This window comes from Homo sapiens, chromosome 4, assembly GCF_000001405.40.
Source record: "Homo sapiens chromosome 4, GRCh38.p14 Primary Assembly".
Classification (NCBI taxonomy): Eukaryota; Metazoa; Chordata; class Mammalia; order Primates; family Hominidae; genus Homo; species Homo sapiens.
The window spans coordinates 144,793,944-144,810,061 of record NC_000004.12 but is presented as its reverse complement, the minus strand read 5'-3'; the positions used below and the strand labels follow the sequence as shown (position 1 = coordinate 144,810,061).

Here is a 16,118-nt window from a genome sequence, read left to right as displayed (position 1 = left end):
TCAGACTGCTGTGCTAGCAATCAGCGAGACTCCATGGGCGTAGGACCCTCCGAGCCAGGTGCGGGATATAATCTGGTGGTGCATTGTTTTTTAAGCCGGTCCAAAAAGCGCAATATTCGGGTGGGAGTGACCCGATTTTCCAGGTGCGTCCGTCACCCCTTTCTTTGACTCGGAAAGGGAACTCCCTGACCCCTTGCGCTTCCCAAGGGAGGCAATGCCTCGCCCTGCTTCGGCTCGCGCACGGTGCGCGCACCCACTGACCTGCGCCCACTGTCTGGCACTCCCTAGTGAGATGAACCCGGTACCTCAGATGGAAATGCAGAAATCACCCGTCTTCTGCATCGCTCACGCTGGGAGCTGTAGACTGGAGCTGTTCCTATTCGGCCATCTTGGCTCCTCCCCCCCAATGTGAAATTTAAAGTAGTTTTTTTCTAATTCTGTGAAGAAAGTAAATGGTAGCTTGATGAGGATAGCATTGAATCTATAAATTACTTTATGCAGTATGGCACAGGGGTCAGGGACCCACTTGAGGAGGCAGTATGTCTCTTAGCAGAGCTCGAGCACTGTGCTGGGAGATCTGCTTTCTTCAGAGCTGGCAGACAGGAACATTTAGGTCTGCTGAAGCAGTGCCCACAGCTGCCCCTTCCCCCAAGTGCTCTGTCCTAGGGAGATGAGAGTTTTATCTACAAGCCCCTGACTGGGGCTGCTTCCTTTCTTTCAGAGATGCCCTGCCCAGAAAGGAGGAATCTAGAGAGGCAGTCTGACTATAGCAGCTTTGTGGTGCTATGGTGGGCTCTGCCCAGTCTGAGTTTACACTGTGAGGGGAAAACTGCCTACTCAAGCCTCAGTAATGGTGGTTGCCCCTCCCCCAACCAAGCTCTAGCATCCCAGTTTGACTTCAGACTGCTGTGCTGGCAGCAAGAATTTCAAGCCAGTGGATCTTAGCTTTCTGAGCTCCATGGGGGTGGGATCCACTGAACTACACCACTTGTCTCCCTGGCTTCTGCCCCCTTTCCAGGGGAAGGAATGGTTCTATCTTGCTGGTGTTCCTGGCACCACTGGGGTATATAAAAAAAATTCCTGCAGCTAGCTCAGTGTCTGCCCAAATGGCCACCCAATTTTGTGCTTGAAACCCAGGGCACTGGTGGTGTAGGCACCCGAGGGAATCTCCTGGTCTCTGTGTTGCAAAGACTGTGGGAAAAGCATAGTATCTGGGCTGGAATGCACCATTCCTCACAGCATAGTCCCTCACGGCTTCCCTTGGCTAGGGGCGGGAGTTCCCTAAACCCTTGCACTTCCCAGGTGAGGTGACACCCACCCTTCTTTGATTCGCACTCTGTGGGCTGCACCCACTGTCTAACCAGTCCCAGTGAGATGAGCTAGGTGCCTCAGTTGGAAATGCAGAAATCACCTGCCTTCTGCATTGATCTCTCTGGGAGCTGCAGACCAGAGTTGTTCCTATTCGGCAATCTTGCCAGCCATCCCATTGTATATATTTTAAGTAGAATATTTAATCTATTTGCATTCAAGTTTATTATTGATATGTGAGGGAACTCTTATTCCTGTCATTTTGTCATTTTGGTAATTGCTTTCTGGTTGTTTTGTATATCCTTTATTCTTTCTTTCTTATTGTCACCATAGTTTTGTATTTTTCTGTAGTATTAACATTTGAGTTTTTTCTCCTCCTCATTTGTGTGTTTGCTCTACCCGTAAGTTTTATACTTCTGTGTGCTTTTGTGATGATAGATACTGTTTTTTCCCTTCCGAGAGTATGATTTTCTTAGGCATTTCTTGTGCAGCTGGTCTAGTGGTGATAAATTCCCTCAGTTTTTGCGTGTCTGGGAAACACTTTATTTATCCTTCATTTATAAAGAATAACTATGCTGGGTGTAACATTTTTGGCTAGCATATTTATTTCTTTTAGCATTTTGAATATTTCATCCCATTCTCTTCTGGCCTGTAAGATTTCTGCTGAGAAATCTGTTATTCTGTTGAGGGGTTCCCTTATATGTGACTAGATCTTAGTCACTTAACTTTAGTGCTGTTAGTTACTGAATGTCTAGTCACATTTATGGGAATCCTCATCTTGCTGTCCTTACAATTCTTTCTTTGTCTTTGACTTTTGATAGTTTTCATATAATATACTATGGAGAGACCTTTTTAGATTGTATCTACCTGGGAATCTGAGTTTTCTGTAGTTAGATGTCTAAATCTCTTGCTAGACTTGTGACATTCTTAGCTATCATTTTGTTATATAGATTTTCTATGCCTTTGGGCTTTTCCTCAACTTCCAGAATACCCATAATTAAAAATTTGGTCTCTTCATGGTGTCTCATTTGTCACATAAGTGTTCTTCATTTTTTTCTTTCTATTTTTCTGAGTTATTTCAAAAGTCTTGTCTTCAAGTTCTGAAAAATTCTTTCTTTCATTTGATCTAGTCTATTATTGAAACTCTTGACTGTATTTTTTTAAACTCATTAAATTCTTCAGTTTCAGGATTTGTTTGGTTCTTTTTAAATGATGTCTTTGGTGAATTTCTCACTCATATCTGAAAGAATTTTTTTTTCTGATTTTGTTGTGCATTGTTGTAATGTTTGTCTGTGTTATCTTGTATCTCATGGAGCTCCTTTGATATTATCACTTCAAATTCTTTTTCAGGTATTTCATGCATTTTGGTTTCTTTAGAATCTGTTGCTGGAGAATTATTGTGTTCTTTTGGAGGTTTTATATTCCCTTTCTTTTTCATATTTCTTGTGTTTTTACATTATTAGCTGTAATGTTCATGTTTCTTGTTTCTGTAATGTTTATGTTTCATGTTTCTTTACATTGATATCTGAATGCTCCTGTCATATAATGGCTGCTTCTTCCATTTTTCTGGATTAACTTTTACAGGGGAAAACTTTTTCCTGAAGATGTGTCTACAGTGTTGGTTGGGTAGGCCACTTTAGCTTTGATTCTTAGTGTGTGCAGTAGTGTCATCTTTGTATAATTTTTTTGGCCCTAAACAGCCTTAGTGGTGTCTGTGATTTCTTCAGTGGCTTAGGCTGCAGTTGTTAGTGGAGGCTGTGGTGAGGCTTTATTGGGATGAGGACAACAAATGGGCCTCTCTCCAGAACCCAGTGGTGGCAGCAGTGGGCTGAGCATGTCTGTCCTTGGGTGCCTGGATGGCATTTGTGGGCATTGGTGTTAGGAAGTCCAGGTGGGCTGATTCCTGGGCCTCCAGGCTCTTTCTCAGGTGCTGGCAGTGCCAGTGATGGACTGGGAAAATGGATGAATCCTTGGGCCTCTGGGTAGCATGTATGGTGTGGGAGATGGCAGCACAGGTGGTAGAACAACCCTTGGGCTCCCAGGCAGCACATGCTGGTTTTAGTGCTGGCTGAAATGGGCTGAGCAGGTCAGTCCAGGCCCCAAGTGGTGTGTGTGGATGACTGCTGGCAGTGGTGGTAGTGGCAGGTGGGTGGGCCCATCCTCAAGCCCCCAGGAGGAATGCATGGATACCAACAATGGTGGATGAGGTGGGATGATCCCAGGCTCTCAAGGGGTGTTTTTGAGTACTTGGGAAACAGTTCCAGCCTGGGTGGGCCTGGGGGAGAACCTGTCCTCAGAATGCATGTCATTGTAGAGCAGCCCTGATGCTGGTGGGGTGAGGTTGCAGTCAATGGACCCAGGCAGGCAGCTTTTAAACTCTAGGGAGTATATGCTGTCCTCCCTTTGTTTTAGGAGCAGCCTCCCAGTGGGCTAAACTGCCTGTTCTCTGGGGTGTAGGGCACTGTGTGGCCTTCAGTCCTGGGGATCCTGCTCCACTGCTGGGTCCAATGTTACCTCCTTTTCCCAGCCTCTAATAACCACTATTCTACTTTCTGTCTGTATTAATTTTACTATTCTATCTACCTCATATAAGAGATATCATACAATATTTATTCTTTTCATATGTGTTATTTCACTTAGCATAATGTTTCCAAAGCTCATCTAATACATGTAGCATGTATTAGAATGCCATTCTTTTCGCTGAATAACATCTCATTAGGCACACACACACACACACAGACACACACACAGATAAAACATTATATAAAACATTTTGTTTATCCATTTATCTGTTGAGGGACAGTTGAGTTGTTTCCACCTTTTGGCTATTGGGAGTAATGCTGCTATGAACATGAGTGGACGATAATATGGTGTACATTGTACATTGATGTACAATAATGTGTACAATACTAATTCTTAATCTAACTAACAGAAATATCCCATCTGAAGAAGCTCAGATCAGTCCTGAGGCTTCACATAACAATAAAGGTCTGTAGGCCTTGTGGATAGGGCTTGGCTTTTACAGCTTTGTCCTTTGCTTGGAATATGCTCTCTCCCTTATTCCTGACCACAGCCTCACCCTTTTCAAAGTGAACTGTAGAATCAATCTTGGAGCTGAATGGTTGTGTGGGATTTCTGCCTCTGACACGTAGTAGTTGTGTGACCTTTCATTAATTATTTAACAAACATAATTATATCTGTTAATAATTATGATGCCAACTAATATGATAAATATCAATGAGTCTACTCTGTGAGAATAGAGCATTTAGAGAAATGTATATGTAGTCAAACTGGGTGTTATTATATTAACGCTATATATAGTGTGTCTATTAGGGTTCTTTCTTTGCAACTGTCAAAATTCACCTTTGACGAATGGAAAGGAAACATTGAGCCCTAACACTGTGGACATTTGAGTGCCTGTTTTTGTGTAAACATTATGTTTTCAATTCTCATAGGTATATACCTCCAGTTGAATTGCTGGATTATATGTCAACTCTGTTTAACGTTTTAAGGAAGTGCCAAACTGTCTTCTACAGAGGATGCATCATTTTACACTTTCATCAGGAATTTATAAAGGTTTTAAAACTCTACATCCTCAACAACACACTTGCTATTATTTGTCTTCTTGGTTATAGCCATCCTAGTGGGTGTAAAGTGGAATCTTATTGTGAGTTTTATTTGCATTTCCCTAATGACCAATGATGTTGGGCATATTTTCATGTGCTTATTGATGATTTATATATTTTCTTTGGGGAAAATTTATTTAAATACTTTGCTGATTTAAAATATGGGGGTGTCCAAAAGCAATGGCAACAAAAGTCAAAATTGACAAATGGGATTTAATTAAACTAAAGAGCTTCTGCACAGCAAAAGAAATTACCATCAGAGTGAACAGGCAACCTACAGAATGGGAGAAAATTTTTGCAACCTACTCATCTGACAAAGGGCTAATATCCAGAATCTACGATGAACTCAAACAAATTTACAAGAAAAAAACAACCCCATCAAAAAGTGAGCGAAGGATATGAACAGATACTTCTCAAAAGAAGACATTTATGCAGCCAAAAAACACATGAAAAAATGCTCATCATCACTGGCCATCAGAGAAATGCAAATCAAAACCACAAGAAGATACCATCTCACACCAGTTAGAATGGCGATCATTAAAAAGTCAGGAAACAACAGGTGCTGGAGAGGATGTGGAGAAATAGGAATACTTTTACACTGTTGGTGGGACTGTAAACTAGTTCAACCATTGTGGAAGTCAGTGTGGCGATTCGTCAGGGATCTAGAACTAGGAATACCATTTGACCCAACCATCCCATTGCTGGGTACATACTCAAAGGATTATAAATCATGCTGCTGTAAAGACACATGCACACGTATGTTTATTGTGGCACTATTCACAATAGCAAAGACTTGGAACCAACCCAAATGTCCAACGATGATAGACTGGATTAAGAAAATGTGGCACATATACACCATGGAATACTATGCAGCCATAAAAAATGATGAGTTCATGTCCTTTGTAGGGACATGGATGAAACTGGAAACCATCATTCTCAGCAAACTATCGCAAGGACAAAAAACCAAACACCGCATATTCTCACTCATAGGTTGGAATTGAACAATGAGAACACATGGGCACAGAAAGGGGAACATCACACATTGGGGCCTGTTGTGGGGTGGGGGGAAGAGGGGAGGGATAGCATTAGGAGATATACCTAATGCTAAATGACAAGTTAATGGGTGCAGCACACCAACATGGCACATGTATACATATGTAACAAACCTGCACATTGTGCACATGTACCCTAAAACTTAAAGTATAATAATAAAAAAGGGGGTGTCTTTTTGATGTTTAGTTAGAAGAATTCTTTAAGTGTATATCAGGCCCATATCAGATACATGATTTGCACATATTTTATTCCTTTCTGTATGTTTTCTTTTTACTTTCTTAATAGTGTTCTTTGGGGAGTCCTAGCCAGAGCATTCAGGCAAGGCCAAGAAATAAAGGACAGCCCAATTGGAAAAGAGGAAGTCAGATTATCTCTGTTTGCTGATTATATGATCTTACATCTAGAAAACCCTAAATACTCCTCAAAAAGACTCCTAGATATGATAAATGAATTAGTAAAGTCTCAGGTTATAAGATTAATATGTGCATGAATTAGTACCACTGCTATACACCAACAATGATCGAGCAGAGAATCAAATCAAGAACTCAATCCTTTACACAATAGCTACAAAAACAAAACACAATAAAATACCCAGGAATATACTTAATCAAGGAGGTGAAAGATCTCTACAAGGAGAGCTACAAAACACTGCTGAAAGAAATAATAGATAACACAAATACATGGATTGGAAAAATCAATATTGTGAAAATGACCACACTTCCCAAAGCATCTATAGATTCAGTGAAATTCCTATCATAATGCCAACATCATTTCTCACAGAATTAGAAAAAGCAATCCTAAGCTTCACATGGAACCAAAAAAGAGCCCAAATAGGGAAAGGAATCCCGTGCAAAAAGAACAAATCTGGAGACATTGCATTACCCAACTTCAAATTATAATACAAGGCTACAGTAACCAAAACAGCATGGTACTGGTATAAAGGCAGGTATATACACCAATGGAAAAGAATAGAGAACCCATAAATAAAGCCAAATACTTACAACTAACTGATCTTGGACAAAGCATACAAAAACATAAATTGGGGAAAAGATTTCCTATTCAACAAATGGTGCTGGAAAAATTGGATAGCCACATTTGAAAAATGAAACTATCCCTATCTCTCACCATATACCAAAATTAACTTAAGATGAATTAAAGACTTTAAGCCTTGAAACCATAAAAATTCTATAAGAAAACCTTGAAAAACCTTTCTGGACATTGGCTTAGGCAAATGATTTATGACCAAGACCCTAAAAGCAAATGCAGCAAAAACAAAAACAAATAAATGGAAACTAATTAAAGTAAAAAGCCTCTGCATAGTGAAAGAAATAATTATCAAATTAGATCAGCAGCTTATGGAATGGGAGAAAATGTTTATAAATTTTGCATCTGACAAAGGATTAATATCCACAGTTTACAAGGAACTCAAACATATCAGCAAGAAAAAAAATCATCAAAAAGTGGCAAATGACATAAATAGACATTTCTCAAAAGAATATATACAAATGGCTAACAAACATATTGGAAAATGTTCAACATCACTAATCATCAGGGAAATGCAAATTAAAACCACTATGAGATACCACCTTACCACAGCCAGAGTGGCTGTTATTAAAAAGTCAAAAAACAGTAGATGTTGGCATGGATGTGCTGAAAAGGGAACATTTATGTACTGTTGGTGAGAATGTAAATTAGTAAAACCTCTATGCAAAACAGTATGAAGATTTCTGAGAAAACTAAAATAGATCTACCATGCAACCCAGCAATCCCACTACTGGGTATCTACCCAAAGGAAAAGAAGTCACTCTATTAAAAAGATACCTGCATGCATATGTTTATCACAACACAATTCCCAGTTGCAAAGATATGAAACCAACATAAGTGCCCAACAACTAATAAGTGGTTAAGGAAAATGTGGTATATATATATATATATACATATACATATATATATATACACATATACATATATATATATATACATATACATATATATATATATATATATATATATACACCATGGAATACTTCTCAGCTATAAATAATTATAAAATAATTTCTTTTGCAGTAACTTGGATGGAACTGGAGTCCATTATCTTAAGTGAGATAACTCAGGAATCAAAAACCACATACCACATGTTCTCACTTAGAAGTGGGAGGTAAGCTATGGGTGCACAAAGGCATACAGAGTGGTGTAATAAATATTGGAGATTCAGAAGAGGGGAGGCTGGAAGGTGAATGGTGAAAAACTACCTATTGAGTACAATGTACACTATTTGGGTGACAGATGCACTAAAATCCCAGACTTCACCACTGTGCAATTCATCCATGTAACCAGAAACCACTTTTACTCCTAAAGCTATTTTAAAAAAAAAAAGTGTCCTTTGGAGCACAAGAGTTTTAATTTTGATGAAGTACAGATTATCTTTTCGTGACGAAGGGGTGCTTATGCTTTTAGTGTCACCTTTAATAAATCATTGCCTTATCCAAGTTCAGGGTTTTCCCCAATGTTTTCTCCTAAAAGGTTTATAATTTTAGCTTTTACATTTAGGTTTTTGATTCATATTGAGTTGCTTTTTGTATATAGTATGAAACAGAGGTTTATTTATGGACTTTCGGATCTATATGTCTACCCTTATCCTATTGCAGCAATGTATATTTGAGAGCATCAAATATTATATATGCTAGTACCACATTGTATGTATGTACCCTTATGCTAGTATCCCACTATATCTATATTTATCTATCTATCTATCTATTATCTATCTATCTATCTATCTATCTATCTATCTACCTATCTATAATAAGGAATTGGCTCCCAAGATTATAGAGGTTGAGAACTCACATGATCTTCTATCTACAACCTGCAGACCCAGGAAAGCCATTGGTGGAATTTAGTCCAAGGCCAAACCTGAAGACCAGAGCTGATGATTTAACTCCTGGTCCAAGGGCAGGAGAAGATGACATGAGATGTCCCAGATGAAGCAGTGAGGCAGGAAAAAAAGGAGGCCAATTCCTCCTTCTGCCTTTTGTTCTATTTAGACCTTCAATGGATTGAATGATACCCAACCACATTTGGGAGAACAATATACTTTGCTGAGCCCTCCAATTCAAATGTGAATTTCATCAGGAAACACTCTCACAGACGTACCAAGAAATAATGCTTAATCTGGGTACCTCATAGTCCATTCCAGTTGACATATGAAATTAACCATATAGTGTCAATTGAAATGATCATGTGGTTTTTGTCTTTTATTCTATTAATATGGTATATTTCACTGATTAATTTTTGTATGTTGAACCAAGTTTGCATTTCTGGAATAAGTCTCACTTTATCTTGGTGAATAATCCTTGTTATATATTGCTAGAGTCAATTTACTAGTATTTTCTAGAGGATTTTTGTCTCTATATCATAAAATATATTAGTCCATAGTTTTCTTGTGATATCTTTGTGTGGTTTTGGTATTAGAGTAATATCAGTTTCATAGAATAAATTAAACAGTGTTCCATCCTCTTCTATTTTTTGAGAGAGTTTATGAGGGAGTAATGCTCTTTAAACATTTTGGTAGAATTTATCGCTGGAGTCATCTCTGTGCATTACTTTGTGCAAAGTTTGTGATCTTATTATAAGTCTATTCAGATTTTATATTCTCTCTTGAGTCACTTTTGTTAATTTATGTTTTTCTAGAAATTTGTCCGTTTTATCTAGGTCATCTAATTTGTTGGCATATAATTATTCATATTGAAAAAATGGTATCTAGGAGACAAGACTAATGTGCAGCTCCCACTTGGACAGACAGAAGAGCATGTGGAGACTCACACTGTAAACTTTTGCCCCAAGAACCACTGCAGGAACATACCAGGAAAACTAAAAGAATTCACAGACCCTTTGAAAGAAGTGGCTTGCCACTACAGACTCCATGAGCCAGCTGAAAAACTGTGAGTTCTTAAAGTGTAAGAGGGGGAACAGCCTGCCTCTAAACACACATCCCCATTGGGGAACCTGAAAAAATCCAGATTATTGGAGAAGGATTTAACCCTACCTAGAGCTGAAATGAATTTAGAGAGCTGAGAGAAATATAAAAGTAGAAGAAGCAGCAGAAAAAGCCCTATAGGCACTCTCAGTTCCCAGCTTGAGTCCAGGGAAGCCTTTCCTGGCTTTATCTCACAGGGGTCCATGGGGAAGGCAGCCAGAAGAATTGGAGAGGGGCCACAGGATTAAGAAAGCTTATAGTTAAACTTTGTAATAATTTTGACTGAGCACAAATTTTCCTGAGCAGAATCTAAGGGGTGGGGTGTGAATGGGAAGTACAGATACCAGCACAGAAGCCACAGCCCACAGCATGGGCAGGTGGATTGCGCTGCTTTCTCAGTGGGGAGGCTTGTAGGCTGGTGCAAGACCTCAGCCTTGCTCACCAGCTGCCTGGATATAAACTCAGTGCTGTTGGTGGGGCATCGCAGGAGTGAGACTGGCCTTGCTGGCTGCATGGGAGCTGGCTGAGGCCTGTCACTGCTGGCTTTCCCCCACTTCCCTGGTGACCTGTATGAAGCAGCAAAGGCAGCCATAATCCACCTGGGGACATAACTCCATTGGCCAGAGAACCATCTCCCATCCCCCACAGTGGCCACAGCAAACCCTGCCCAAGGATGGTCTGAGCTAAGACCTGCCTAACCCTGCCCCTAGTGAATGTTTTTTCTCTATCTGCCTGGTAGCTGAAGACAAATGACAAACTCTTGGGAGCACTATGGGTCTGCCTATTGCCTGAGAAATGTGAGTACTTATCCTGGCCAATGTAGAGCAAGCTTATATCTCCCTCCTACTACCACAGCTGGTGCTGTCTTGAAAACACCACCTCCTGGCTGGAGACCAATCAACTCAAGCCATTACAGCAACTCATAACAGAACAACCATGATCCAAAGGAGAAAACAATAGCTAATTCCACTGCCTGTAACACCCTGGCTAACCAGAGGTCCTGAGTCTGTCCATGTGACAACTTCGCTGATAGCATAACAAACATTCAAGGAAACCAGTATGCTAAACAAAACTGCAATCAAGGATTCCCACAGATCCCACTTTACTCCCATCACCTCCACTTGAGCAGGTGCTGGTCCATGGCTGAGAGACCTTAAGATGGATCACATCATAGGACTCTTTGCAGACACTCCCCAGCACCAGCCCAGAGCCTGGTATCCCTGCTTGGTAGCTAGACCCAGACAAGCAATAACAATCACTGCAGTCTGGCTCTCAGGAAGCCCCATCCCTAGGGGAAGGAGGGGAACCCCACCTCAAGGGATCACCCCATAAGACAAAAGAATCTGAACAGCAGCCCTTGAGTTCCAGATCTTTTCACTGAAAGTCTACCCAAATGAGAAGGAACTGGAAAAGTAATTCTGGTATGCAAAAACAAGATTTATACCACTCCCAAAGATCACACTAGCTCTTCAGGAATAAATCCAAACCAAGGAGAAGTTTCCGAACTGTCAGATAAAGAATTCAGAAGGTTGATTATTAAACCACTCAAGGAGGTACCAGGGAAAGGTAAAAACCAACTTAAAGAGATTAAAAAATGGATGTGGATGAAAACGTATCCAGAGAAACAGGTATCATAGAGAAAAGACAATCACAACTCTGAAAATGAAAGACACACTTGTAGAAATGCAAAATACATGGAAAGTTTTAACAATGGAGTAAAACAAATAGAAGAAAGAACTTCAGAACTCAAAGGCAAGGCTTTCAAATTAACCCAATCTGAAAAAGATAAAGGAAAAAGAGTTTAAAAAATGAATAAAGCCTCCCAGAAATTTGGCTTATGTTAAATGACCAAGCATAAGAACAATTGGTGTTCCTGAGGAAGAAGAGAAATCTAAAAGTTTGGAAAACTTATTTGAGGAAATAATCAAGGAAAACTTCCCTGGTCTTGCTGGAAATCTAGAAATTCAAATACAAGAAGCTCAAAGAACACCCATGAAATTCATCACAAAAAGGTTATCACCTAGGCATATAGTCATCAGGTTATCTAAAGTCAAGATTAAGGAAAGAATTTTAAGAGCTGTGAGGCAAAAGCATCAAGTAACCTATTTAAAAAAAAAACCATCAGATTAACAGCAGATTTTTCAGCAGAAATCCTATAGATTGGGGTTCTATCTTTAGCTTCCTTAAACAAAATATATGTAATTGTATGCATATACAATTATATATATATAATTTATATATATAAAATTTCCTTATAATCCTTTTATTTCTATATGGTAAGTGATAATGTCCACTCCCTCATTTTAGTAATTTGCTTGAGTCCTCTCTTGTTTTTTCTTGGTCAGTGTAGCTAAATCTTCATCAGTTGTTTAAATCACTTAAAAGAACTAACCTTGGTTTAGTCAACTTTTTTTACTGTTTTCATATTTTTTATTTATTTAGACTCTGATCTTTATTACTTCTATCTTTTTGCTTTCTTTGCGTTTAGTTTACTCTTCTTTTTTGAGTTGCTTAAGGTGGAAGGTTAGTGTATTATTTCATTCTTATATTTGTATAAAAATATCTGAGATTGGATAATTCATAACTAAAAGAGGTTTAATTGGCCCACAGTTCTGCAGGCTATACAGGAAGCATAGCAGCATCTTCTGGGGAGGACTCAGGAAGCTTCCACTCATGGTAGAAGGCAAAGCAGGAGCAGGGACCTTACATGGCTGGAGCAGAAGCAAGAAAGAGAGGGGAGAGGTGCTACACACTATTATACAACTGGATCTCCCTAGAACTGTATCACAAGAATATCACCAAGGGGGTGATGCTAAGCCATTCATCAGGGATTTACCCCCATGATTCAGTCACCTCCCACCAGGTTCCATTTCCAACACTGGGGATTACAATTTGACCTCAGATTTCAGTGGACAGATACAAACCATATCATTCCACCTCTGTGCCCTCCCAAATCTCATGTTCTTACCATATTTCAAAATACAATCATGTCTCCAATAATTCCCAAAGTCATCACTCATTTTCACATTAACTCAAAAGTCCAAAGTATCATTTGAGATTAGGCAAGACTCTTCCATCTGTGAGCCTGTAAAATAAGAAACAAGTAACACTTCCAAGATATAATGGGAATATAGGCACTGGATAAATACTCCTGTTTCCAAAGGGAAAAAAATTGGCTGAAAGAAAGGGGCCACAGGTCCCCCATTAAGTTTGCTTAAAAGTTTGCTTTTTTCTTGTAAATTAGTTTATGTTCTTTGTAGATTCTGGATATCAGCCCTTTGTCAGATAGATAGATTGTAAAAATTTTCTCCCATTCTGTAGGTTGCCTGTTCACTCTGATGGTAGTTTCTTTTGCTGTGCAGAAGCTCTTCAGTTTAATTAGATCCCATTTGTCAATTTTGGCTTTTGTTGCCATTGCTTTTGGTGTTTTAGTCATGAAGTCCTTGGCCATGCCTATGTCCTGAATGGTATTGCCTAGGTTTTCTTCTAGGGTTTTTATGGTTTTAGGTCTAACATTTAAGTCTTTAATTCATTTTGAATTAATTTTCGTATAATGTGTAAGGAAGGGATCCAGTTTCAGCCTTCTACATATGGCTAGCCAGTTTTCCCAGCACCATTTATTAAACAGGGAATCCTTTCCCCATTTCTTGTTTTTGTCAGGTTTGTCAAACATCAGACAGTCATAGATGTATGGTATTATTTCTGAGGGCTCTGTTCTGTTCTATTGGTCTATATCTCTGTTTTGGTACCGGTACCATGCTGTTTTGGCTACTGTAGCCTTGTAGTATAGTTTGAAGTCAGATCGCGTGATGCCTCCAGCTTTGTTCTTTTTGCTTAGGATTGGCAATGAGGTCTCTTTTTTGGTTCCATATGAATTTTAAAGTAGTTTTTTCCAATTCTGTGAAGAAAGTCATTGGTAGCTTGATGGGGATGGCATTGAATCTATAAATTACCTTGGGCAGTATGGCCATTTTCATGATATTGATTCTTCCCATCCATGAGCATGGAATGTTCTTCCGTTTGTTTATGTCCTCTTTTATTTCGTTGAGCAGTGGTTTGTAGTTCTCCTTAAAGAGGTCCTTCACATCCCTTGTAAGTTGGATTCCTAGGTATTTTATTGTCTTTGAAGCAATTGTGATGGGAGTTCCCTCATGATTTGGCTCTCTGTTTGTCTGTAATTGGTGTATAAGAATGCTTGTGATTTTTGCACGTGGATTTTGTATCCTGAGGCTTTGCTGAAGTTGCTTATCAGCTTAAGGAGATTTTGAGCTGAGACAATGGGGTTTTCTAAATATACAATCATGTCATCTACAAACAGGGACAATTTGACTTCCTCTTTTCCTGATTGAATACCCTTTATTTCTTTCTCTTGCCTGATTGCCCTGGCCAGAACTTCCAACACTATGTTGAATAGGAGTAGTGAGAGAGGGCATGCCTCTCTTGTGCCACTTTTCAAAGGGAATGCTTCCAGTTTTTGTCCATTCAGTATGATATTGGCTGTGGGTTTGTCATAGATAGCTCTTATTATTTTGAGATACGTCCCATCCATACCTAATTTATTGAGAGTTTTTAGCATGAAGGGTTGTCAAAGGCCTTTTCTGCATCTATTGAGATAATCATGTGGTTTTTGTCTTTGGTTCTGTTTATATGCTGGATTACGTTTATTGATTTTCGTATGTTGAACCAGCCTTGCATCCCAGGGATGAAGCCCACTTGATCATGGTGGATAAGCTTTTTGATGTGCTGCTGGATTTTGTTTGCCAGTATTTTATTGAGGATTTTTGCATCGATGTTCATCAATGATATTGGTCTAAAATTCTCTTTTTTTTGTTGTGTCTCTGCCAGGCTTTGGTATCAGGATGATGCTGGCCTCATAAAATGAGTTAGGGAGGATTTCTTCTTTTTCTATTGATTGGAACAGTTTCAGAAGGAATGGTCCCAGCTCCTCCTTGTACCTCTGGTAGAATTCGGCTGTGAATCCATCTGGTCCTGGACTTTTTTTGGTTGGTAAGCTACTAATTATTGCCTCATTTTCAGAGCCTGTTATTGGTCTATTCAGAGATTCAACTTCTTCCTGGTTTTGTCTTGGGAGGGTGTATGTGTTGAGGAATTTATCCATTTCTTCTAGATTTTCTAGTTTATTTGCATAGACATGTTTATAGTATTCTCTGATGGTAGTTTGTATTTCTGTGGGATCGGTGGTGATATCCCCTTTATCATTTTTTATTGCATCTATTTGATTCTTCTGTCTTTTCTTCTTTATTAGTCTTGCTAGCGGTCTATCAATTTTGTTGATTTTTTCACAAAACCAGCTCCTGTATTCATTGATTTTTTGAAGGGTTTGTTGTGTCTCTATTTCCTTCAGTTCTGCTCTGATCTTAGTTATTTCTTGCCTTCTGCTAGCTTTTGAATGTGTTTGCTCTTGCTTCTCTAGTTCTTTTAATTGTGATGTTAGGGTGTCAATTTTAGATCTTTCCTGCTTTCTCTTGTGGGTATTTAGTGCTATAAATGTCCCTCTATACACTGCTTTGAATGTGTCCCAGAGATTCTGGTATGTTGTGTCTTTGTTCTCATTGGTTTCAAAGAACTTCTTTATTTCTGCCTTCATTTCGTTATGTACCCAGTAGTCATTCAGGAGCAGGTTGTTCAGTTTCCATGTAGTTGAGTGGTTTTGAGTGAGTTTCTTAATCCTGAGTTCTAGTTTGATTGCACTGTGATCTGAGAGACAGTTTGTTATAATTTCTGTTCTTTTACATTTTCTGAGGAGTGCTTTACTTCCAAGTATGTGGTCAATTTTGGAATAGGTGTGGTGTGGTGCTGAAAAGAATGCATATTCTGTTGATTTGGGGTGGAGAGTTCTGTAGATGTCCATTAGGTCCTCTTGGTGCAGAGCTGAGTTCAATTCCTGGATATCCTTGTTAACTTTCTGTCTCATTGATCTGTCTAATGTTGACAGTGGGGTGTTAAAGTCTCTCATTATTATTGTGTGGGAGTCTAAGTCTCTTTGTAGGTTACTAAGGACTTGCTTTATGAATCTGCATGCTCCTGTATTGGGTGCATATATATTTAGGATAGTTAGCTCTTCTTGTTGAATTGATCCCTTTACCATTATGTAATGGCCTTTGTCTCTTTTGCTCTTTGTTGGTTTAAAGTCTGGT

General features: G+C 39.2%; 3 annotated features.

The window, feature by feature from the left end:
* Positions 1,132 to 1,673: an enhancer, noted in NCBI's record as "H3K27ac hESC enhancer chr4:145729541-145730082 (GRCh37/hg19 assembly coordinates)". NCBI's record gives its function as "activates a minimal SCP1, AML or CMV promoter by ChIP-STARR-seq in naive H9 embryonic stem cells {active_cell/tissue: H9 hESC(naive)}" and the evidence as "EXISTENCE:reporter gene assay evidence [ECO:0000049][PMID:30033119]".
* Positions 9,910 to 10,409: an enhancer, noted in NCBI's record as "H3K4me1 hESC enhancer chr4:145720805-145721304 (GRCh37/hg19 assembly coordinates)". NCBI's record gives its function as "activates a minimal SCP1, AML or CMV promoter by ChIP-STARR-seq in naive H9 embryonic stem cells {active_cell/tissue: H9 hESC(naive)}" and the evidence as "EXISTENCE:reporter gene assay evidence [ECO:0000049][PMID:30033119]".
* Positions 10,410 to 10,911: an enhancer, noted in NCBI's record as "H3K4me1 hESC enhancer chr4:145720303-145720804 (GRCh37/hg19 assembly coordinates)". NCBI's record gives its function as "activates a minimal SCP1, AML or CMV promoter by ChIP-STARR-seq in naive H9 embryonic stem cells {active_cell/tissue: H9 hESC(naive)}" and the evidence as "EXISTENCE:reporter gene assay evidence [ECO:0000049][PMID:30033119]".